The sequence below is a fragment of the Homo sapiens genome, chromosome 5, assembly GCF_000001405.40.
Source record: "Homo sapiens chromosome 5, GRCh38.p14 Primary Assembly".
NCBI lineage: Eukaryota > Metazoa > Chordata > Mammalia > Primates > Hominidae > Homo > Homo sapiens.
The window spans coordinates 95,520,451-95,543,970 of NC_000005.10; the positions used below are offsets into that span (position 1 = coordinate 95,520,451).

Consider the following 23,520-nt stretch of genomic DNA (forward strand, 5'->3'; position numbering starts at 1 on the left):
CCACTAGCAGACTGCTCCTTCCTTCCTATTCTTTCCTATGCATCTAGGATGCCAGCCACTACTAAGAGCAGAAGAAATTATATCTGTTTCCCCAAGTGCAAAATTAATACAACATGTATGTTATAGAATTGGCTTGTCTGTTATTCTTTATGTTTGACATTCTGAGCAATTGCTATATCTAGCAGAATACATAAAATGATCTTCTAAATTTGGCTTCATTTTAATATTACAAAAATAAACAATAAATAATAAGAATAATACGAACCAAGTAAAATATTCCAGTGCTTTTTCTATGTAGTCTACGGCTTTTCCATCAAGATAATCAACTAGAGCTGCTTTTGCCATCATAAGATGGCATTCACCCAAACCTAAAATCAGGTAAGTTTGTCACTGTTATTAAAACATATAAAATAAACACTTAAAATGAACTTCAAATAAAGTTATTGGTGTTATTTTAAAGCACTTTCCAGAAAATAAAACTTAACGGTGTGTTATAAAATTATCTTAAAGCATGATCCTACATTCACTCAATAAGAAATTCAAATGGAAGAATTCTGTTGGAGTAAACATGCACTAGAAGTTATAAAAAAGTTATCTACAGAACCCAAGAATTTCCTTGACTTTGGGCAAGTTACTTACCTGCTAAAACTTTGGCTACAAAAAATGTGGATATTATCTATATGTTACTCTCCATGATATTACTACTTATTAACTATTGTGAAACAAGATATGATCTTTTTATATTAAAATCTGTATAGCAAGCTATACTATAAGAATTAAATGAAATAGTGATTACCTAAAGTTCCTAGTAAAGATTTCTTAAATGTGAGTTCTCCTTCTCTTGAGGAAAGAGTTTTACAAAATTAAAAAAAAAGTTTCAAGCCCTAAGTTATATGTCATATACAATATACTATTTATGTGCTCACTTCAGCAGCACATATACCAAAACCGGAATGATAAAAAGAAGATTAGCATGGCTACTGAGCAAGGATGACACAAAAATTCATAAAGCATTCCTTAAGAAAAACAAACAGAAAAAAAAAACCAGTTTCTTTAAAAAGGAGAAAGAAGGAAATGGAAGAAAGTAAGCATATATAATGAGCTCCCAGCTTTTTTAATACAATCATTACAAATGTAGGTTATATATGGATGGTGGTATTTTATTTTATATTACCAAAAATAACTTAGATAACTACAAAACAATGCAAGTTGTCTCTGAAGTTTAAAAAAAATTTAATGAGCTTGTATAACTTACAAAGTAATTAAAGGTATTAAGATATTCTGGAGACATGATGAATTAATTATCAAAATGTAAGAGTAGGGAAACATGTTTTAGAGATCAATTTTTAGATCTAATAGTTATCATACTGTTTGTCTAAAAGTTAAATCTCTGTCACATTACTATTTATTAACTTGTGAAACAAGATTTGATCTTTTTATATTCAAATTTATATAAGCTATACTGTAAGAGGTTCATATGGATGCTTGCTGTTGACTAAAGAAGTCCTTTTCAAGTTATTCAATACATTTAGGCAGGAAATCTACTCAAGGATTTTATACTTCAGGATCATAAAAGTCAAAGGAGCTACTAAAAATAAATTACCTTTTAAAGCAGGCACATAATCTTCTTTCTTTTTAATGATCATCTGGTATTGAGCTACAGCCTCCTTATATTTGCCTAGGATTTGCTGTATTGCTGCAACCTTAAACACACTGTATATGGATTCTGGGTTCAGCTCACTGGCTTTTGTGAAGGACTTCAAGGCTGTTGTGTAGCCTCCTCTGCTTAAGTATGCTTCTCCTAACGATTCCCAACAATTGAAGTCCTTTGGGTCTGCTCTTAATGCTGCCTGTAAACTAAAATTTAAAAAACCGTAAGAGAACTAAAAGTATGGAACTATCTCCAAATCTGAAAGGAAAATATAAAATAAATAATTCAAGTAAACATATATATCTGTGGCTCCTTCTACTTATAAAAGTGCTATTTAAAGCAGATAAATTTGTTCCTTTTATGATTTTTTTAATGCTAAGAAATGTTATTTTAATTTCAGAATAAGAATAAAATGCTTTTTTTGAAAAAGTGCTGAACAAAATTTCTTTTCCTTGATTATCTTGAAGAACTCGAGTTTTCTATCCTACCAGGACAGGTGTCCATCTCAGTTTGTCACATCAGCCCATAATCCCCCACCAGCAATCCTTTTACCAAACAGAAATACCACAGTTAAAATATGGAAACAATAGGCATGCTTTAAATATCTGATCAAATTCCATTTCCGTGAAAATGCCTGTACTCTAGATACTAACATAAACCAGAAACAATTTTATTTTGATTCAAATACATTTATTTACATTTAAGTACTGTTCAAATCAAATGACTCAAATTGATCATATATGAGCTGCTCCCAATGCCCTTTAAGCTGCCAAATGTCTCCCTTGCCAAAAACAATGTGTGTCAGCAGAACAACAAAGATATGTACCTCAGCTTCTCATCACTAAAATTTCTATTGAGAACTACTATACATATGTATTAAGACTTCAATTCACTAATCTGGCTATCTCCTCAACAACAGGACACCATTTAATCCATCTCTGCAATTCCACTGCCCTGCAAACAATAAACACCAATCAATCATAAAGTAATTTTGTTATTTCTTCTCTCAAAATACAACCTGGTAAGAGACAATTAAAATGCTTAATTTAAGGAACCGTTATGCTTGTCTAACATAGTTTAAATACAATAAGGTGCCTTACTCAGCCACTGCTTGAGAATGCTGACCAGCTTTCAAATAGTATAGTCCTCGCCTAAGCCAGGCCCATTTTGCCGTTCCAGCACTTGCCTTTTGAGTTACTGTTGTTAGGATAGCTAAAGCCATTTCCTAATAATAAGAAAATACTAATATTAGATATATTGAACATTATAAAAAGACAGAACGCTCATGTAAAGTACACAAACATATTTTCATTTCTCACTTCTGATTTTTTAAACTTACACTGGTATACATCAAATTACAGTTTCAACAATAAGTGGTTAGTAATTTAATATCTGCCAATGGAAAAAAACTTCACTTACAGAGGCAAAAATATTTATATTGCACCTATAGAAAAAAAACTAATGATAACTTTCAAGTATACATATATAAAAATATTTTCATTTATATACTCAGGATAAAAAAAACAAAAAGCAAAAGTGATTATTAGACATACCATATCTTCAAGCTCCACACTTAGGTCAACTGCTGCAGCTCCAGATTCAGCATCAGTGTCATCTAATTCAAAGGCTTTCCTATAACATCCACGAGCTCTGTTTTTATCTCCCACTACGTCTCTATAATAATGACCTAAATAGCAGAAAACTTTGCCCATATATGTATCCAGTCTTGCAGCCTTTGAAATAAATATTGATAATAACAGAACATTAAAAGTTCATTTAATGAGTATCTTTACAAATACAGAAGATAAATACACAGATTAAAGAAAAAAGAAATAATTTCATTAAACATACAAAAATATGCCAAAAAATCCTTTGATGTAAGATTTAAAACAGACAGGAAAGCTGTCCCTCACTGCTTATAGAAAGTAAAAGGAAATATAAAAATATTTTGTTTTTTGGTAAAGGAAATGTGAAATTAGAGCTGCTACTGAATTAATCTGCTCTTACAAGTCAAGATAAGAATGTAGGACTTATAGATGTTAAACATCTAAAAAAACAGGAATTTAAACATCTAACTTGTATGCTCATAAAACTACAGTGAAAATTACCTTAAAAGTATTGTTTACAAGAGATAATTATGTCTCGTTTTCTACAACACATGCTTTTCAAAAAGTAACTTTCACATTTTATGTTTTAATTTTTTCCTTGAAAACCCATATAACACCATCACAAAACCTGACATATGAAAGATAAAGCACAAAAAACAGTTCAGTAAAGAGTAATTGTAACTAATGTATATGATTATTATTTATGATTTTATAATGCCATTTCAACTAGGAATTGAATTGTAGCACTTGCTTTACCTTCAGAAAGTGGGTAAGAGCCTTTGTTTTATCTTTTCTTGTCTCTTCACCCATGAACCAGTATGTTAATCCAAGTTGGTAATGATATTCTGCAACTTCGGTATCTTTCTCAAGAGCTCTCTGAAAACTAAGCCACCAAAGGGTAATAAAAAGAAATAGTAAAACAAATACACACACACCCACACGCAATATAGGAGACTCCTAGTTGGAACAATCAAAGTTTGAGTGATTCAGAGGTGCCAAATTAGAAACCAATCATCACTTTAGGATTTATATTATCATAAGGAAAAAAGTGATTTGTTTTTGAAGAAGAGGATCTTAAAAAAGCACAGTGGCCTTTTAGCACTACCATGTGCTAAGTGTTCAGACTATACTGAACATTACATCTGCTTAGTGAACATTATGATCAGCTGATTAGATTTTTTTTTTTATTTTTTGAGTCCGAGTCTTGCTCTGTCATCCAGGCTGGAGTACAGTGGAATGGTCCTGGCTCACTGCAACCTCCACCCCCCAGGTTCAAGCAATTCTCGTGCCTCAGCCTCCTGAGAAGCAGGGACTACAGGCATGTGCCACCACGCCCAGCTACTTTTTGTATTTTTAGTAGAGATGGGGTTTCATCGTGTTGCCCAGGCTGGTCTTGAATTCCTGCGCTCAAGAGATCACCTGCCTTGGCCTCCCAAAGTACTGAGATTACAGGTGTGAGCCACCACGCCCGGCCAAGATCAGCTAATTAGATTTGAAACCCATCATATAATTTTTTATAGCTACTGTACTACATGCTAAATACATTTCTTTAAAATACTAAAACTTAAAGCCTACAAAGATCAAATTCATGAAAAATCAAATCTTCATCAAGCCTACTCATTTTGAATTTTTCAGAAATATAAAGAACTAAGATGTAAATGGTTCTATGAGCAATTTATATATCCTTACCATTTTTCTGCTTGTAGATAGTCCTTTTTGGTGAAATGAATCAAAGCCTCAAGGGCATGAACTTCAGCTAGGTCAGGGTAAGAAGAGAGAAGGTCTTCCATAATCTATAAAGTAGACACCTGTCAATTCTATAGCCAAATAAAAATGCTTTTAACTCAAAAAATGCTCAGTTTGAATAAAAAAGCCAACCTTTGCAGCTTCATCAAATGAACCTTTGTTCCGATAGGCCAAGCTTTTGAGAACCAAAAGTCCTGGGATATTATCTGCATCAGAAATCTAGAAAATAATTGTAAAGAACTGCTATAAATCTCCTTCAACACAACCACAGCAATGTTTGCTTTAATTAACGAACGAACACAGAAAAGCATGGTCCTAATAGAATAAAGAAATAGAGGTCCTGATTTCTATCACTAATAACACATCTTCACTCTTCATAACCTTTTTATTAAGGAAAATCTCATATACATAAAAAAATTACAGAAACTAGTATAATAAACCCACATGTACCCATCATCCAGCTACAAAACCACAAACTCACAAGCAATCATTTTTTTCATCTATACCTCCACTAATTTTACCACACTTCTGCTCAGATGATTTTGACACAAATCCCAGATATTGTAACTTTTTACCTGTAATACTTCAGTATCTATATCTAAAAGTTCATTTCTAAGTTGCATAACCACATTACCATTATCATACCTAAACAAAAACAACATCCTTAACACTATCAAATTTCTCAGTTGTCTCATATTTTAACAATTTTAAAAATCAAAATCTAAATAAGACACATACATTTGAACTTAATGATAATGCCTTGTCTCTTTTAATCAATAAGGTCCCCCTCCTTCTCTTTTTTTTTTCTTCCTTACAATTTAACTGTTGAAAAATATGGCCTATTTGTCACAGTTTCTCAGAGTCTGGATTTTGCTAAACGTATTCTCAAGGTGTTTAACATGTTCCTTGGTTCCCTGTATTTTCTGTATATTAGTAGTTGGGTTCAGAGGTTTGAAGATTCCCAAGGATACTTCAGGTCTTCAGGTGTATTTGCACTTGGTTGTGTCTGACTGTCTTTTTTTTTTTGTTTTTTGGAGAGACAAGAGTCTCGCTTCGATGCCCAGGCTAGAGTGCAATGGTCTGATCTTGACTCACTGCAACCTCTGCTTTCTGGCTTCAAGCGATTCTCCTGCCTCAGCCTCCCAAGTAGCTGGGATTACAGGTGCATACCACCAAGCCAGACTAATTTTTCTATTTTTAGTAGAGACAGAGTTTCACCATATTGGCTGGTCTCAAACTCCTGACCTCAAGTGATCCACCTGCCTCGGCCTCCCAAAGTGTTAGAGGCATGAGCCACTGTGCCCAGCCTGATTGCCTTTGTGTGATGTTAGTAGCCATTAACCCTTGATGCCTAGATCTATTAATTCACTGGGGATTGCAAAATGGTGATTTTCTGTCATTTTCTCTTATTAGACAGAATACTTCAACAAAGGCAAATTTCTCCTACCTTCGTTATTTCATTATCCTGAGGAATGATTCAGATAAAGGCAGGATAAATGCCTTTATTCTTCATAGTTGGGTTCTTAGCATCCCCCCAAACATTTGTTTTCTTGAGGACATTTGCTGAGTTTTCTGAATCATCATGAACACATGGATTTAAAATATTTGATCTGTTTCAACATACCACATTAGTAACGCCCTTTTTAGCCAGTAAGAATCTCTTTATGCTAGCTCTTGAGCCCTTTTGTAGTCTGAGCCCTTTTATAGTTTCTTGCTTTCTAGCATGACAAGGTGTTCTTGGTTCATCTTGTACATTTTCTATCTCAGACCTGGACTCTGCTAGTTCTCCAAAATAGCAGTCATTTGTTTTTTTGTGAAAACATTATTTGAAAAACCTTTATAAAGCATTCACACAAAACACATTATTGGTGGGATGGCAAAAAGAAAACAAGAAAATATTAATTGTTGAAAGATGCTGACAACGGTTCTGATTTTAAAGAAATATTATGAAATACAAAGCCCTTTGAAATACATAAAACTGATTTAAAAACTCAATTTTAATTTAGACCAGTAATAGTCTTTACCTGACAAAAATCTTTAGGGCATAATGCTATAATTCATAATTTACCAGTTATAGTTTTTTTCACTATGGACTTTCAAATTGCTTTAACTCAAAACACTAAGAAATCGGTTTCATTATGAAATATGAATCTTTCTTTGAATGAAACAAATAAACATTCTCTACCATGAAGCTAACAGTGTCCTTAATTATTCTTGTCAAATCTGCAGAACACTTCCTGAAGGAAAAAATTTGGAATCTCAAATTAATAATAATCAAGTAGTAATAACCTAAGAGGGCAAAAGGAAGAAACGAGAATGAAGTCTAGAACTAACGAAATAGTCTTATATGATGAGTACTATAAGTCCTTAATCAAAAAGCAAACAAATAACTTTAGAAGTTCCCAAATGTATGAATGACTTATAAAAGTGCAGATGTGGTGAATTCATACCTCTAACACAAAATCCATATAAGTAAATTTTGTGGTAGGCAGAGAATGGTTGTTGCCTGGTTGATTGGAAACTAACTAGAGTTGAAGAAAAAAACTTGACAAGTCTACCTGATCAAGCGTACGAATTGCTTCCTCTGAAGAGTCATAATCTGAGAGTTTAATCAAAGCCTCTGCTTTCAAATGAAGACAAAGATTCCTCTGATAAAGACTGTTACCAGACGCACCAAGATTATCTACGATCTTCAGAGCTGACAAAATTAAGGGTATCCAAATGAAGACAGCCATATCACTTCTGTTTATTTTTTCTTTTTTAAGGATGACATATAATAAATTGCAGATACAATAAGCATAAATTTCCAAAACAATATACATGAAGAATAACTCAAAGCTAAATATAAATTCTTCCCTGACTTCCTTATGGAAAGACCTGAATTTAAAACAGAACATATCTGAATTTAAAACCTCTATCTTCACACAACATATAATAAAACTGAATATCCTAAAAAACGACAATGGCTATCTATATTTGCTAAACAATAAAGGTTAGCCCACAACCAAAGCACCTGTAACAAATATAAGAAATTAAGGATACTGGAAGGGGAAAGCAGCTGAATTAGAATGGACCAAGGTGAACTGTTTCTTAGTTACAGGGAGCAAGCTACCAGGTGGGTCAGAAACAGTGAACCACTTTCATGATTTCCTATCCCCACCCCTCACCCTGTCACATTCAAATAGGCTCCAAGATGCCTAAGGTTTCCCCTCTCTATATGAGAGAAATTAAGAACTCATGTGTCTTGGACACACCAGAAACTTCCTTGTTACAAAGACAGAGGACCTCCACACCCAAGCCTAAACTGACTATGTCAATATTCCAAATGCAGGAAAATTTTGCTAAACATTCATTGTCAGTTTAAAAATAAACACACTAGTACACATGCATGCAGACTTTTATTTAAACTTATTGAAATTAAAATTAGCAATTTAAAATACAAAATATAGCATTTTGGTTTTTAAAAATCACTATCTTTGTCCTTTAAGATAAAAACAAATAGGGTTGGTCACCCTTATATGTCAACCCAAAAAGTATCAAAAATACCTTGACTGCATGAAAGAACAGCTTCTTTAGGTCTATGCATTTTGACTTGGGCTTCTGCCAGATGATACCATCCACTTGTGCAGACAGGGCTTTCCTTTAACCCTAAAAGGATAAAAACAATCACAAAAAACAAGGTTTCTGTGACTACATAGATGAACAGCACCAATGCCTACTCTCCAAATCAGACTCCTCCCCTCTTCATCTCTCATATCTCATCAGTCACAAAGTCACACTGATTCTCTGCCTCAATTCATTCCCCACCATACATTTTTCTCCATCTCCACGTCAGTTCAGACCTCCACCATCTTTATCCCAAATCACTACAAGTGCTTGCCATCCACCCCAATGCATTCTTTACACTGTAGCTAGAATATCTCTAAAAAGACAAATCAGATTATAAAATTCCCCTGCTAAAAATCTTTTACTGATTCCCCACTGTTGTCAGGATACTGTGCAAACTCCTTACCAAGTCTTGCTAGGCCCTTCTACAATCTCACTTCTTGTCCCCTCCTGTACATACACTTCATTCTCAAACCCTGGTGAACTACCTGCAGTTCTCTGAACAACAGTTTTCCTCTTAGCTCAGGCTATTTCACAGATTCATCTCTGCCTAAAATGTTCTTCCCATTCCCTTCAACCACCTACCTGGCTTGTATTTACCATTCAGATCTATAATTTGAATGTAGGTTCTTCCAGAAACATCATACCTAGTAAGACTAAGTTAAAGCCTAAGTTCCTAATGCATATATATCTACATGTCTGCCTTCCTCCCTCCCTCCCTCCCTCCCTCTCCCTCCCAATTTACTTTTTGCTTTGCTTTCTTTCTTTTCTTTTTTCTCTCTTTCTATATAGATATACCTATTTTACAAATGAAAACACTGACACACAGTAAGTTTAACTCTTCTGAGGTCTTGAAATTAGTGATAAGCAGAGTCAGAGTTCAAACCTAAGCAGAGTCCAAGGTATGCAGGTACATTTTTTCCCTTCCACCTTAGATAGACATTCCTTAAAGAAAGGCTCAAAGATAAATGCCTACTGACTGAATAATAATTATACTTCACGTTACATGCCATACACTGTACATTTACCTTCTGTTAGGTTCCTAACAGCATCTTCATACTTTTTGTCTTGTAATGCTTTAATGCCTAAGCCAATGAGGCCTGGACCACTTTTTGAATCCATTTCCACTAATCTACAACAATACTGCTGCCCCTCATCAGTAAGATTTCCTGGAATTAAAAGGAAAGGTTATTAGTATACATATATCGAGTTTCTAAATGCCCAAACCCATATTCTTAAATCTCAAAATCTGCCTTTATATTCTTATGCATTCTTCACCACATGCTGACTCCAGAAATTCAAAATTTAAATAGACCAGCAAATGCAGAAAATATTAACATTTAATTTAAATAATTATGATTTTTCATCTTCTTAAATACTGGAAGTAGAAACCACTTTAGGATTTCAGACAAGAAACCTGCTACTTGCCAGTAGACTAAGCCACATAGCCTACTGCTTGCCAGCTGTAACAATTTGGTTGTCAAATGAAGGAGCCCTTGTCAAAGCAGAGTGTCTTCCTCAAGTTCTCTTCCTGGGCAACCATGCGCTGCTAGAGACATGTTAGTCAGATCCAGCAGACTCTTCCAGCATCCAAGGATCACAAGATAGGCGGGTTACTCATCAGGACACTGCACAAAGACTTAGTCACATTCCTCTTAAGTCTACAAATTTACCAGTACATTTCCACATTTTTCTAAAACTATCTTTTTCTATATAAGTGAATTGTGACACTTATGAGATAGTCATCCAATGCCTACATTTATTTTATTTTCAAATTTATTTTGGTAAAATAGTTTAGAAAACATTATATATTTTGTAATATTTCCATTTTCCCCAATCTCAATCCCACAAAAGCATCAAAACAAACAAAAAATTGTAATTTCTGTTTTAGAATAAATTGTGAATAGCATTCACAAGTTTAATAAATCATTTAATCACATAGGAGAATTCTTAAAAAGACAAACTACAACTTGAAGCAATAAATATGGGAAACAAAAAAAATTCCTGAAAAAAAAAGACCCGATGCTTTAATAACTATATAAAACATAGAAGCCCAAACCACATGTAGAACCACTGTTTCAGTTACAGATGTCAAAGGTAAATTATTTGCATAATACCATGTAGCTCATATATTTCAAATTTTAAAAACCATTTGCAAACCAATGTATAATCCATTAGTAATATGTAGTAATATGTTATATACTGATTTAGAAATCCAAGTTGGCACCAAAAATGAAAAGAATTAATAATGGCTAAAGAGTTAAAACTTCAGTATATTTGGCAAAATATGAAAACAAATTGGAAGAAATACTACTTTGATTAGTAAGCCAGTGAAAAAGACACAAGCCTGCTACTATTATGCTTCCAGGCATGAACTTCCTTGTCAATATTTTCTCACCATAGCTTCCATAAATATGAATTCCAAAAATAGATATGTCTAGTTCCATACACCCTATACCCTCCCAAGAAAACTAGCAGCTTTTTCCCTTTTGATCCAGTGGTATTGTCTAAACTAGACATTGTCTGCACTATCAGAATCACTTGGAAGACTTGTTAAAACACAGTCTGCTGAGCCCTATCCCTGAAGTTTATGGTTCAGTAGGTCTGTTTAAGACCTAAGAATTTGCATTTCTAAGAAGTTACCAGGTGATGCTGATGCTACTGGTCCAGATATCATACTTAAAGACCACAGGTCTACAATATTTGCTAATACCATATATGACCTTTACTATTAGTCTTATAACATGTATATTCTGCCCTTATTGCCTCTGTGGCTAAATGGTAACCTCTGGAGAGTACAGACCAGCATGGCATCTGATATGTGGTAGGTGTTCATTAAATCTTGTGACGATCCTTTAAAAATACCATTATGAACTGATATTCAAAAAGGCTTAGTCTGTTAATAGGTAACAGCTGAAAATTACTACAAAAAATTAAAAATCTTCACCATCCTAAAAAAAAATAGCTACCAAACTCTTATCTTTTATCTCTACCCATCTCAGTCTAAACACCCTGCCTCCATAGAAACATAATTTATGACAGACTACCTTGACTACATAAACTGCCTGTATTACAGGAAATATACCTGGGATGAAAATAGTTAAGAAAAATCATGCATCTCTCCAGTGAACATCCATATTTAGGGTAGCTTAAACAACACACAGGTAATCAAAGTGTGGGTTGGTACACGAAAATAGTTTCCAAAAGGCTGAGATGAACATAAACGACTTTTAAAACAAGGTAAACCTTCCTAACATATTTCCTTTGCTAAAGCCTGGGAGCATAACAATAAAAACAAAATAAGATCTGGGGAGACTATGTTCATGTTCGGCCCTGGGTAACAATTCTCTGCATATGACCAAGCGGCACTGAGAGGAATTTTCTATAGTGTTCCCAAAACTAGCAACAGTAATAACAACACTAATGATCCTTGTATAAAGAGACAAGGAATATTTCAGCTTCAACTATCAATCCTTCTCTTATTCATACTTATTCTTGTTGAGAATACTAGCTAAATAAATACCTTGGTGGAGGACAAAAACAGAGGAAATAGAATTCATTGCTTTTGAATCTTATTCATTGCAAATGAATAGAAAATCATTTACTTAACTGCTCTTTTTAACATTTAAAGGATTCTAAGGTTCCACATTTAACAACTTTAAAACAGTTAGACAATATTATTTTTATTTCTCAAAAACGCAAGCCAGATTTGGGGCTGATGAATGCTCAAATTCCAAGGGTAGAGGGTATTCTGAAGAGGTCCGTGTTGGATGCTGAGTAATAACTATGAAATTCTGTTTCTTAAAGTTTACTACAAAAAGTCGGTTTTTAAAAAATTAATTTCTGACATCCCAAAAAAAGCTGATCAATACTATCTAATTTTTCTTTTAAATAAACTTAGCTTGAGGGGGGAAAAAAACCATGTACAATTTGGTGGCATTCATATTTATCTTCACCTGGATTTTCTAATAGTTTTAAAGCAGAAAATCTTAATCCAGCTCTTTTCTGCTTGAATTTGAAGAACCAAGCTTTTTTATCCTCCCCCATTTCAGTAACAAAGCAAAATAAGATAAATAAAAAAGTCATTTAGCATGAAAAAAAATTTCAACAGATGACAACTGTGAAAGCCATTCACTACTTGTTACATGAAGCTTTATAAACTGAGTCATTTTGAAAATGAATTTTCAATTCTCAACAGGCAAAGCAGGACAAAGGAGAATGAAATACATTTGTTCTCAGTGGAGGAGAACCCAGTGATTAACTGCTGTGAAGTAGCAAATTCTGTACATACTGAAGTACTTTGTGGGAGGGCGGCTCAGACTTCAGAGACCTTACAGATTCTCAGAAGTTCTCAATACACTGAAAGTCGGGTTTAGAGGAGCAGTAAAAAGAAAAAAGCACAGATTCCTATTGTCCTACATTAACTATTGAACTTCCACCTCAAGAATACTACTTTAACTTGAAATGTACCCAAACCTGAATTTCTCAGTTCCACAAATTCCTGCAACCAACAATTCAGAAGGGAAAGAACTCTTCCCTGATTTTACCATATCTGTAAATATCCACATATACACTCTTTTTGCTGTGATATAGACCTTCTTTTCTTTCCATTCTACATAATACAAATCCAGAACCTTACTCAAAAATGATTTTTTTCATTTAAACCAAGACACTTTCTAATCAATCAGTATAATCCCTTCACTATGTCTTTATCAGAGCACTTTGTCAACCACTGAATTTATGTGCAAAACTCTGTAGACTATTGTTGATCCTATTTTTTTCTATTATTTTGTAGGCTTTTTAGAATATAAGGACAAGTCTACATTATAGGTACATTTATGCTTATTGAGAAAGCATTCTGTCAGTCCTCAAAAAGAATTTTCAAAGTATTCACTGTGTCATTTGGCATGTGAGCAAGGCCAAGGCTGAGGTAATGGTGAAAACCATAAATAGCTGAATAGGAAATAAAGAGAAAAGAGTGAACACCAGCCATTAATTTTTCAATAACAACAGTAACAGCAGAATAGGGAAAAAGAATTGGTACCAGGGGCCATACAATAAAGAAAATCAGCCTACTTATCTTTGGAACACACTGAGTCTTATATTAAAATTGGAAGGATCTGGGTGATTTTAGAACTCAGCTTCCTATCAGGAAAAAAAAAAAAAAATCACAAGACTTCCTAAGTATGCTCCTTGTGCTTGATGTACCTCATCCTCCTCAGCCTCAGTGCAACACTCTCATAATGTTAACTATCTCACCTACTAACTATTTCTTCTTACACCACTCCTGCCAGGCAGCTATTGCAGTTCTTCTCCCACCCCTCTAAAAGCTTACTATCCCCTCTGCGGGCTTCACTTTCTCATCCTACTACTCCCTAATGCACTTAGTCCACTTTCCTTTGTATACCTGCTTTTTCCTATTCTTTCCCCATCACTGTAATCTAAGCTCTAATTCAATCACTTTCATTTAAAAAGATAGCCTTAATAAAAAGCCTCACAATCATAAACTCAGTTGGCTCAATCTGTCAAGACAGACCATAATAATCTCACTTCTGAAATGCTCTTTCCCTGTCGTCTTGTGTTGCTTCTCGTCAGAGTCCACCTTCTTCTCTGACCTCATCCCTTCTCTTCCTTCACTTACTCCCTTTCTCTTTTTCATCTCTTTCCCTCCAAGCCAGCCAGCACTGCCCAAAGTACAGTTCTCAGTATTTTTCCCTTTAGTCCTCCTCTGATGGTAACCATTCCACGTCATTTTCACCTACATGCAAATGACTTCCAAACCATATGTCTACGCTTAGTATTGATCTCTCATCTGCAAACCACTGATGGGCATTTCTCATTAACTGCCCCATTAACATCTCCTCTCAATAACCTACATTTCATACAAATCATCATGCCATATTGGGCCAACTTTTCAGGAGAGGTGAAAGTTAAAATTGATTTTTGTCTCTCCGTCTAAGAAATCACTTTCATTTTTTCATTCATCTGTTCCTTTCTATCTTCACTATCATACTCCTCGTTCATTCAAACCTACTGTCACCTAGTGTACTGGAGCTAGTCCACCTTCTATACAATCTGTCCTGCACACCATGTTAGTTTAAGACTTTATACTCCACTCACTATACTTTTTATGTTCTCTTTCTTCTTATGGTAGTAAAAAGTACTCTCCTAAGTCTATCTTTGACTCAGTTAAAGTAAGGCAAAGGGCATCTGCTTCTACCAAAACCAGAGCTGAAGGTAACAGCAATTTTTTTTTTTTTTTTTTTTTTTTGAGGAGTCTCGCTCTTTCGCCCAGGCCGGAGTGCAGTGGCGCTATCTCGGCTCACTGCAACCTCCGCCTCCCGGGTTCACGCGATTCTCCTGCCTCAGCCTCCTGAGTAGCTGGGATTACAGGCGCCCGCCACCGCGCCCGGCTAATTTTTTGTATTTTTAGTAGAGACGCGGTTTCACCGTGTTAGCCAGGATGGTCTCGATCTCCTGACCTCGTGATCCGCCTGCCTCGGCCTCCCAAAGTGCTGGGATTACAGGTGTGAGCCACCGCGCCCGGCCAGTAACAGCATTTTTTAATTCAGACACCAGGAAAAAAAAAAAAGTAAAAGAGGACTTTAAAGGAGAGTTAAAATGAGGAGAACTGAGATAGGTGCAATGGTCATTTTCTACCAAGGAATTTTCCTTCACAGTTATCTTTAGCAGTAGTTTTCAACCCTTTTTTCACTATGACACATGTGAGGGTCATTCACATACAAAGCATTCTCATGTATATACTCATTTAGCAACAAAGTGAAAAAAATTAAATGGATTAGTAAAGCTCCACAATAATTGACAATCACTACCACACTGGTGTACGTACTAATATTTCTATTTCAGTGACTGACTTCTGTGAATTTGTTCACCTCAAGAGAGTAGGGCATGAAATTCAGGTTATTAAAAAAAAAAATCTATTCAGCACAGATACTGACCAAAAGGAAAGAGGCTGGTGGAAAAACCAATACAGCCAACCTCTTGTTAACTGGTGGAATACCAGCCCTGGACACAAGACTTCCACAGCTACAGGTTACCCAACTCCCAGCAAGCTAGTTGTCATCAGTTCTCTCTTCCTCCCAAACAAAGTACATGAAGATACAAGAGCATGAAGCATACACAGAGACAAATTCTCCCATTTGAATATGCTCTATTTCATTAAAAAAGGAGATTCAGGAATTTAATTACTTTATAATATTACAGTATTCATAACAGTGTTCTTATGACACTGTGACATAACATCAACACTGAGGCAGCTAAACTTTCCAAAAATCCTTTCTGTGATATTCATAGCTCTGTGTAATATAGCCTGACCTATTTAGCCAAAATATATCTTAGTTATTTCTTCCACTATAACAAGCAAACCTATTTTACCATTCCTAAAAAATGCACCTAGCTCCACATCTCTGCTCATGCCAGCTGGAATATATTTCACCTACTCCTGTTTACCTAGTTTCTATAAAAAATTCAAGACCCCCTCCAATTTCCACCATTAAAAAGATTTCACTGACTAACAATAAATCTGGCAACTCATAATTCTTCTGTATTACTGTACTTTCCTATATTTATTAGTCTTTTCATATACACAAAGACTACACATTATACTTCTTTTTATGTCCAGAAACACAGAAACAACACCTTAAACATGGTAGACACTAAAACATTTTTTGATTAATAACATCACTCACATAATCACACACCTCTAGGACACACACTATAATAAGGAAGAAATTACCTGATTCAATTAAATGCAAACAAAGCACTTCTAATGGATACTGTACAGTAGGATAGATGTTTATCATTCCTTCACAGGCCTTCTTCAATCTAGCAGACTCATGAGGAAACTTGAAAATATAAAAGCAAAATACACTACATTCTAGTAGTAGTAAAATGTATTTATGAACACTTTCCTAATTAGAAATACATACAAGTCACATTAGAGATTTAAAAAATCAACTTACTTTGGATAAACTCTGAATGAAATGCCTATAAAGTACTTGGTGATCTTCACTAGGAATCTTATCTGATAATCCCAGTGCATTCTCAAAAGCAGTAAAAAGCTGAAACAAATAAAAAAGCTATCATCTGTATCATACTTAAATGACAAATGATTAAATGTATAAGACTCTCTTACACAAACTACACGTTCAATTAACTGCAAATGTATTCTACAGTCTAACCCTGACAACTTCAACGAGGAAAAAAATGTACATGTAAGTTTTGGAATGCATTCTAACTCCAACTGGCCAGCAAACTGCACTCAACTGGTAAGTAACAACTATACATTAACAACATTAATTTAACAAAACGCACTTCCAAGTGCCTGCTGTCTCCTACAAAGTAGTCAACCAGAGTATAGTCTTATATGCTAGTATAGCTGCTACTGCTCACATATCATTTTTAAAACAATTCTGAAATCACTAGCACGTTCTTTGAAGTATCTTCAATGATAGCAAATCTTCAACCTTTAAAAAGCAGTTATAAAGTTGGGTGATACTTTTGGTAAAAGAAAAGCAGAGATATGACTGAACTGTTATGAAATCACTTCTCTTATGCAGTATTAGCTGACTCTGAAGAACATTCCATCACTTCTCTTATGCAGTATTAACTGGCTTTGAAGGCCAACAGGCCTTCTAAATATGTCTGGAATAAGAACAGCAATACTAGAATCCAAGGCAAGTGGTATAAAGCACTTCATACCACTCAGCTGGCTACACGTTCTGCATTTTAAAATGAATACTCATGACTTAATACCAAAAAGCCATAATGTAATTCAATATCTCAAATTTTCTTTGGAAAGTATGGTATAAAGTCTATGTAAATAAGTAAAATTTTGCTGCCCTGATAAAGTTAACAATCTTACAAAGAAGGAACATACCTCAAAACAGTCTAGCATAAAAGATTTTTAAAAACAGTAATAAAATTATTCCAAATGAAAAATCTGTAATACATTTTTTTCTAAATACTCAGTATTCAAGGTAGGTAACAATAAATCCCCTCATCCTTTTATCTATTACTAACAGTTAGAAATCGATTCTTAAAATCTTAAGTACAATTAATTCTCTGTCATGGAGGAGGGTGGGATAGACCATCCAAAAAGTTATTTTACTTATTTTGAAATGTGTTTGATATTCTGGTAACCTACATTATTTTAAGGAAAATAATAAAGTTATATTATGATATTATACAATTTAAGAGAAACTGCTAAGCTACCTAATTTTGTCACTGCTCAATTTTTTCCACAATTGAATCTATGCACAGATAAATCATGTTATCACACACAAAAAAGAAATCTTATTCTCACATTTTTATCCCCAGCTCTTAGGACCCTGCCTGACACATAATAGGTAGTCAATAAATATTTTCTGAATAAACAAATTAATGAGTGAACAAATGAACACATGAACAAATGAACAAATGAACACAAAGAAATGAACTTCCTATCCTATATAGAGTCTATATTTGTTTATTTAAAAATTCCACTCAATTTAACAAGTGTACATTAAGTAGCTATTTACTATAATAAGACATTAAGTTGACTTTTAAAGTTACAAATAAAAAAAGGAGAATGATAGACATATTTTCCAAATGTGGTTCAAAACCAATTATTTTTTAGTCTTACAAAAATTCTCTTCAATTACTTTAAAATCTGCACCATAAAGACTTTTTTTCTAGGTGAAAAATACTAAATATAAATATACTAAATACTAAATTTACTCTAAATACTAAATATAAATACTCTAAACAGTGGAATTGTTAAACCTCAAAGTAATTCAGTACTCTTAGTTCAGAAGTGTAAAGAAACACACCTTTAAAAGTATAACTTCTTAGACACCATAAGCAGTTTTGTGAAAGCCAATTCAGTTTCTTTTTTACAGTGATTAAGTTACTGATGTATTGCAGATTCTTATGAACACAAGAGAATGAAATTCTGATACCATGAGTACCAATTCCACTCCATCCAGACTCCGTATGAGACTACAGGCCAATAATTCTGACTTTATCTAGAAGAGCCTCTGTGAATTTAAAATTGTACATTTACAAAACACCTAGTCTAACATACAATCCTTTTTTTTTGAGCATCCATTGAATTATCATTGAATGTCCTATTTCCAATGTAATTCATGGACTAATATCCAGAATCAATAAGGAGCTTAAACAAATTAGCAAGAAAAAAAAACAACAATCCCATCAAAAAGTTGGCTAAGGACATGAACAGAAAATTCTCAAAAGAAGATATACAAATGGCTGACAAACATGAAAAAATGCTCAACATCACTAATGATCAGGGAAATGCAAATCAAAACCACAATGCAATACCACCTTACTCCTGCAAGAATGACCATAATCAAAAAATAAAAAAAATAGATGTTGGTGTGGATGTGGTAAAAAGGAAACACTTCTACACTGCTGGTGGGAGTGTAAACTAGTACAACCATTATGGAAAACAGTGCGGAGACTCCTTAAAGAACTAAAAGTAGGCTGGGCTCAGTGGCTCACGCCTGTAATCCCAACACTTTGGGGGGCTGAAGTGGGCGGGTCACTTGAGGTCAGGAGTTTGAGATCAGCCTGGCCAACATGGTGAAACCCCATCTATACTGAAAATACAAAAATTAGCCAGGCATCGTGGCACATGCCTGTAATCCCAGCTACTTGTGAGGCTGAGGCAGGAGAATTGCTTGAACCTAGGAGGCAGAGGTTGCAGTGAGCCGAGATTGCACCACTGCACTCCAGCCTGGGCAACAGAGTGACACTCTGCCTCAAAAAAAAAAAAAAAGAACTAAAAGTAGAACTACGATTTGATCCAGTAATCCCTCTACTAGGTATCTACCCAGAGGAAAAGAAGTCATTATACAAAAAAGATACTTGCACATGCATGTTTATAGCGGCACAAGTCACAACTGCAAAAATACAGAACTAGCCCAAATGCCCATCAATCAATGAGTGGATAAAGAAATTGTGATATATATACATATAGATAGACACAGACACACACATACACACACAATGGAATACTACTCAGCTATAAAAAGGAATGAATTAATAGCATTCGCAGCAACCTGGATGGAACTGGAGACTATTATTCTAAGTGAAGTAACTCAGGAATGATAAACCAAACATCGTATGTTCTCACTCATACGTGAACATATGATAAGAACATTGTATGTTCTCACTCTAAGCTATGAGGACACAAAGGCATAAGAATAATACAATGGACTTCGGGGACTTGGGGGAAGGTGAGGGACAAAAGACTATAAATTGGGTTCAGTGTACACTACTCGGGTGATGGGTGCACCAAAATCTCACAAATCACTACTAAAGAACTTACTCGTGACCAAATACCACCTGTTCCTCAAAAACTTATGAAAATTAAAAATTAAAAAAAAAACTCCATAAAAAGAAACAAACCCAATAAAAAATGAGCAAAGATCTGAACACACACTTCACCAAAGAAAATATACAGGTGCAAATGAACACATGAAAAGATGTTCAACATTACTATGGAAATGGAAATTAAAATGACAATGATCAATTATGTTTCCATTTTCTAAATTCAATTAAATGATCAATTTTCATGAACAAACTTGAGGAATAAATGAGTCAATACCAATTGCTGAGTTTCATTATTCTGGTCCTCTGTACTTTCAGCCAGGAACTGAGTCAATTTTCTCCATAGTTGATGAAGCTCTTCATTTTCTGCACCTTGTTCCTGCCGTGTTTTTATCAACTTGTGCCATGTTCGAGCCACCTATTAAAGAAGGAGATTTTAAATTATTTTGTCCAAAATGTAAAAATGCCAATAAAAATGTAAAATCTGCAAATAAAAACATTTTTAATTTGTTAATATATAAAAATAGCAAAAGCATAGAACCCCATCTATTTTATTTTATTTTATTTTTTTGAGACGGAGTTTTGCTCTTGTTTCCCAGGCTGGAATGCAATGGCACAATCTCGGCTTACCACAACATCTGCCTCCTGGGTTGAAGCAATTCTCCTGCCTCAGCCTCCTGAGTAGCTGGTATTACAGGCATGCGCCACCATGCCCAGCTAATTTTGTATTTTTAGTAGAGACAGGGTTTCTCCATGTTGGTCTGGCTGGTCTCGAACTCCCGACCTCAGGTGATCTGCCTGCCTCAGCCTCCCAAAGTGCTGGGATTACAGGTGTGAGTCACCGCGCCCAGCCCATCTATTATTAAAAGAAGTCAGAAAATCATTCACCAACCTCTAGGTGTTTCTTTTCTTGGTAATATAGATCCACAAGTTTCTTGCAGACATCACACCACTTCTGCTTGTCAACACTTAGAACAAAACAAAACACACACACACAAAAGGATTTTGAATCTGATTAATAAAAATAACCAAGGACTTAAAACACTAAAATTTAAGTATTCCAATAATAATTTCAGGTACTATTTTAAATTAGAACATATCTTCTTTCATACTACAGTAAAATTTTCTAAAATGAGCTCCTCATAAAAAAGAAAAGGTTTAAGAAATATTATCTTCTATTATATTGACTGAAAATAATGTCAAAGTTCCAAAATTAGTCAATCCTCTTACTAGTAGTGTTTTGATTCTATTTTAATCACAAAAGATTCTACGACAAATGTTTGAAAAAAAAAAAAAGCTTCGCAATTCCCAGTAAATGCTGGAATACTTCTACATGATTTTTAATCAGTTTATTAAAATTCAAGCTTTGAAAGAAACTGGACTTTCCTCATACATTTCTTACCTCTCATAAAGATCCAGGAGCTTTTGGTAAACACCAGGCAAGTCATCCTTAGCATTTATGTGATTATATTTCTCATACAAGTTTGCTAACCCCTAAAAGAAGAAGTACTCATGATTATTCTTTTTCCTAAAACATTTGCTGTTCTCACATTCATTTATTTTGCTAAATAATATGATAATCTATAAAGATTATTTCTGAAAAAGGATTATTATAATTTACAAATGAAATGATCTGTCTGAGATTTGCCTCTAAATATAATAGCTGGGGGTCGGAGGGCACAGGTAAAGTGGATATTGTTGAGTATGGGTGACAGGAATAAAGAGGTATATCATTCCCTTTTCTTTCGAAAATTCATTAGAAGTGCTTCACAATAATAAACACTTTTAATGGCTATTCTACAATCTTACCATCTAAGATTACTATATGACATTATTTTTTTCAATTTCAGCATGTGATCTAAAGTATTTTATTGTGATATCATTGACATATAAAAATTGTATGTTTTTAAGGTGTACAACTTGATGTTTTGATATATGTATTCACTGTGAAATGACCACCATAATCAAGCTAACTAACATAACCATGCTACGTAGTTACCACTGGTGGCGGGGGAGGCAGGGGAGAGGTGAGAAGATTTAATTTTAAGATCTATGTGACACTACCTTTATGATATGATCAAACAAAAAAAAATCAAGTAGTCTGTGAAAATTGTCATTTTTGCATTAAAGAACGATCAGATATCCTAAACCACTCAGTCCATTATAAAAGCAGCAATTTCTCTAACTGTGTTACCAGATATCCTCAAGTTCTTATTCACATGAACCTGAGACAAACAGGTTCACACCCTCCAGGGCCTACTACATCGTATTAATCAGTTTCAAAGGTGTGACTGAGATACCAAACAAAGTTATTAAATGTGAAAAAGTTGGAGAATCTAAGTAAAAACATTAAGGCCACTAAGTAAGAAAAAAGAATTTAACTTGCACTCAAAGATAGAAACATTAACATTTTTATATTATTTTATTTTTAGGAAACATTAAAAAACATTTCTTTTTCCTCAGGTAAGCATAAAGAATAATATTGTGGAGAAGTCTTTTATATGCACATATAACTAAGGTAGAGATTTATATTTGAGTGCTCACATTAGAAATAATCCATTAGGTAGGATATTAAATAGTGTTAAACAACATCCTTTGCACCACTTTTTTTCTAAACTAACTTTTAGGTTTAGAAAACCAATAAATTTAAATTTTTTCTTACATGGGGCAAATGTAGGTTTAAATGCTTAGTTTAATGTTGAAACCTGTATTTTGAAAAATGCAAAAAAAAATCCATTTCCATAATACAGAAAAAAAAAATTTCTACATACCTGCCAAGCTAGTAATTGGTCTGGCTCTAATTCAGCAGCTTTTTTATAGGCACTCTGGGCCTGATCAGGTTGTTCTAGTTCAGCTGCAGCAACGCCAATAAAAACCCAGGCATTATAGTTATTTTTCTCTTGCTTTAACACTGTCTGATTTAAAAAAAATTAAAAGAGTAGGTTAGTAAATTTTCGAAGCAAATGAACTAACAATAACAGAAAGTCTAGCATGAGTCAGGAAATCTATATCTACCACTTAACAGGGCAAACTTCAGAATGCCATTTAACCTATCTGGTTTCAGTTTCCTCAGGGGAAGGAGTTGGACTGTAGGAGTGACCATAATGGCTTTGAAATAACAGGTGGTTTCTTTTAAAGCTGCCCGAGGGATACTGACACCTCCACCAAATGCCTCCCCATGCTCTTTGAGAATACTGGGTATAAAAAGAACAATAACTACTCAATCATCCTGCCTGTCTCCATACTGCTACTGGTCAAATTCACAAAGCTGTTCTCCATCTCATTTCACTTAATCCAACTCTCATATTTTCCTTCACCATGATAGTTTCCCCATATTAGACACATGGATTTTTCTCAAGATTAAGACTAGGAAAGTAGATTCACCCCAGTGCGATTATACCAAATATGTTCAAAATAAATAGTGGCAATGATGTTTAAACAACACCTGCCAACTGGAATAAAAATTATATGTAGAGATAATTGCTTTCAGAAATAACAGCTACTTGCTAAAGGTAAAATAAAACAGCTTGAAGCAGTTAGCAAGTATGTTCTAGGGAA

At 34.3% G+C, this 23,520-nt stretch overlaps 1 protein-coding gene and 1 pseudogene across 3 annotated transcripts in view; one reads left to right on the forward strand and one right to left on the reverse strand.

Annotated features, from left to right (window-relative positions):
* The window catches only part of SKIC3 (SKI3 subunit of superkiller complex), a 91,084-nt gene that overhangs the window by 56,557 nt on the left and 11,007 nt on the right, over window positions 1–23,520 (reverse strand). For all 3 annotated transcript variants that reach the window (NM_014639.4, XM_047417937.1, XM_047417938.1), the window contains exons 5-20: window positions 22,734–22,877; window positions 21,365–21,456; window positions 20,855–20,930; window positions 20,240–20,380; window positions 16,593–16,691; window positions 16,367–16,475; window positions 9,639–9,779; window positions 8,551–8,652; window positions 7,563–7,702; window positions 5,137–5,223; window positions 4,948–5,051; window positions 4,015–4,141; window positions 3,205–3,384; window positions 2,752–2,876; window positions 1,604–1,857; window positions 266–368 (exon numbers count right to left, since the gene is read on the reverse strand). In NM_014639.4, coding sequence (NP_055454.1) covers window positions 266–368; window positions 1,604–1,857; window positions 2,752–2,876; window positions 3,205–3,384; window positions 4,015–4,141; window positions 4,948–5,051; window positions 5,137–5,223; window positions 7,563–7,702; window positions 8,551–8,652; window positions 9,639–9,779; window positions 16,367–16,475; window positions 16,593–16,691; window positions 20,240–20,380; window positions 20,855–20,930; window positions 21,365–21,456; window positions 22,734–22,877 — 2,024 coding nt within the window. The remainder of the gene's footprint in view (window positions 1–265; window positions 369–1,603; window positions 1,858–2,751; window positions 2,877–3,204; window positions 3,385–4,014; window positions 4,142–4,947; window positions 5,052–5,136; window positions 5,224–7,562; window positions 7,703–8,550; window positions 8,653–9,638; window positions 9,780–16,366; window positions 16,476–16,592; window positions 16,692–20,239; window positions 20,381–20,854; window positions 20,931–21,364; window positions 21,457–22,733; window positions 22,878–23,520) is intronic.
* Window positions 919–1,025, forward strand: RNU6-308P (RNA, U6 small nuclear 308, pseudogene; annotated as a pseudogene).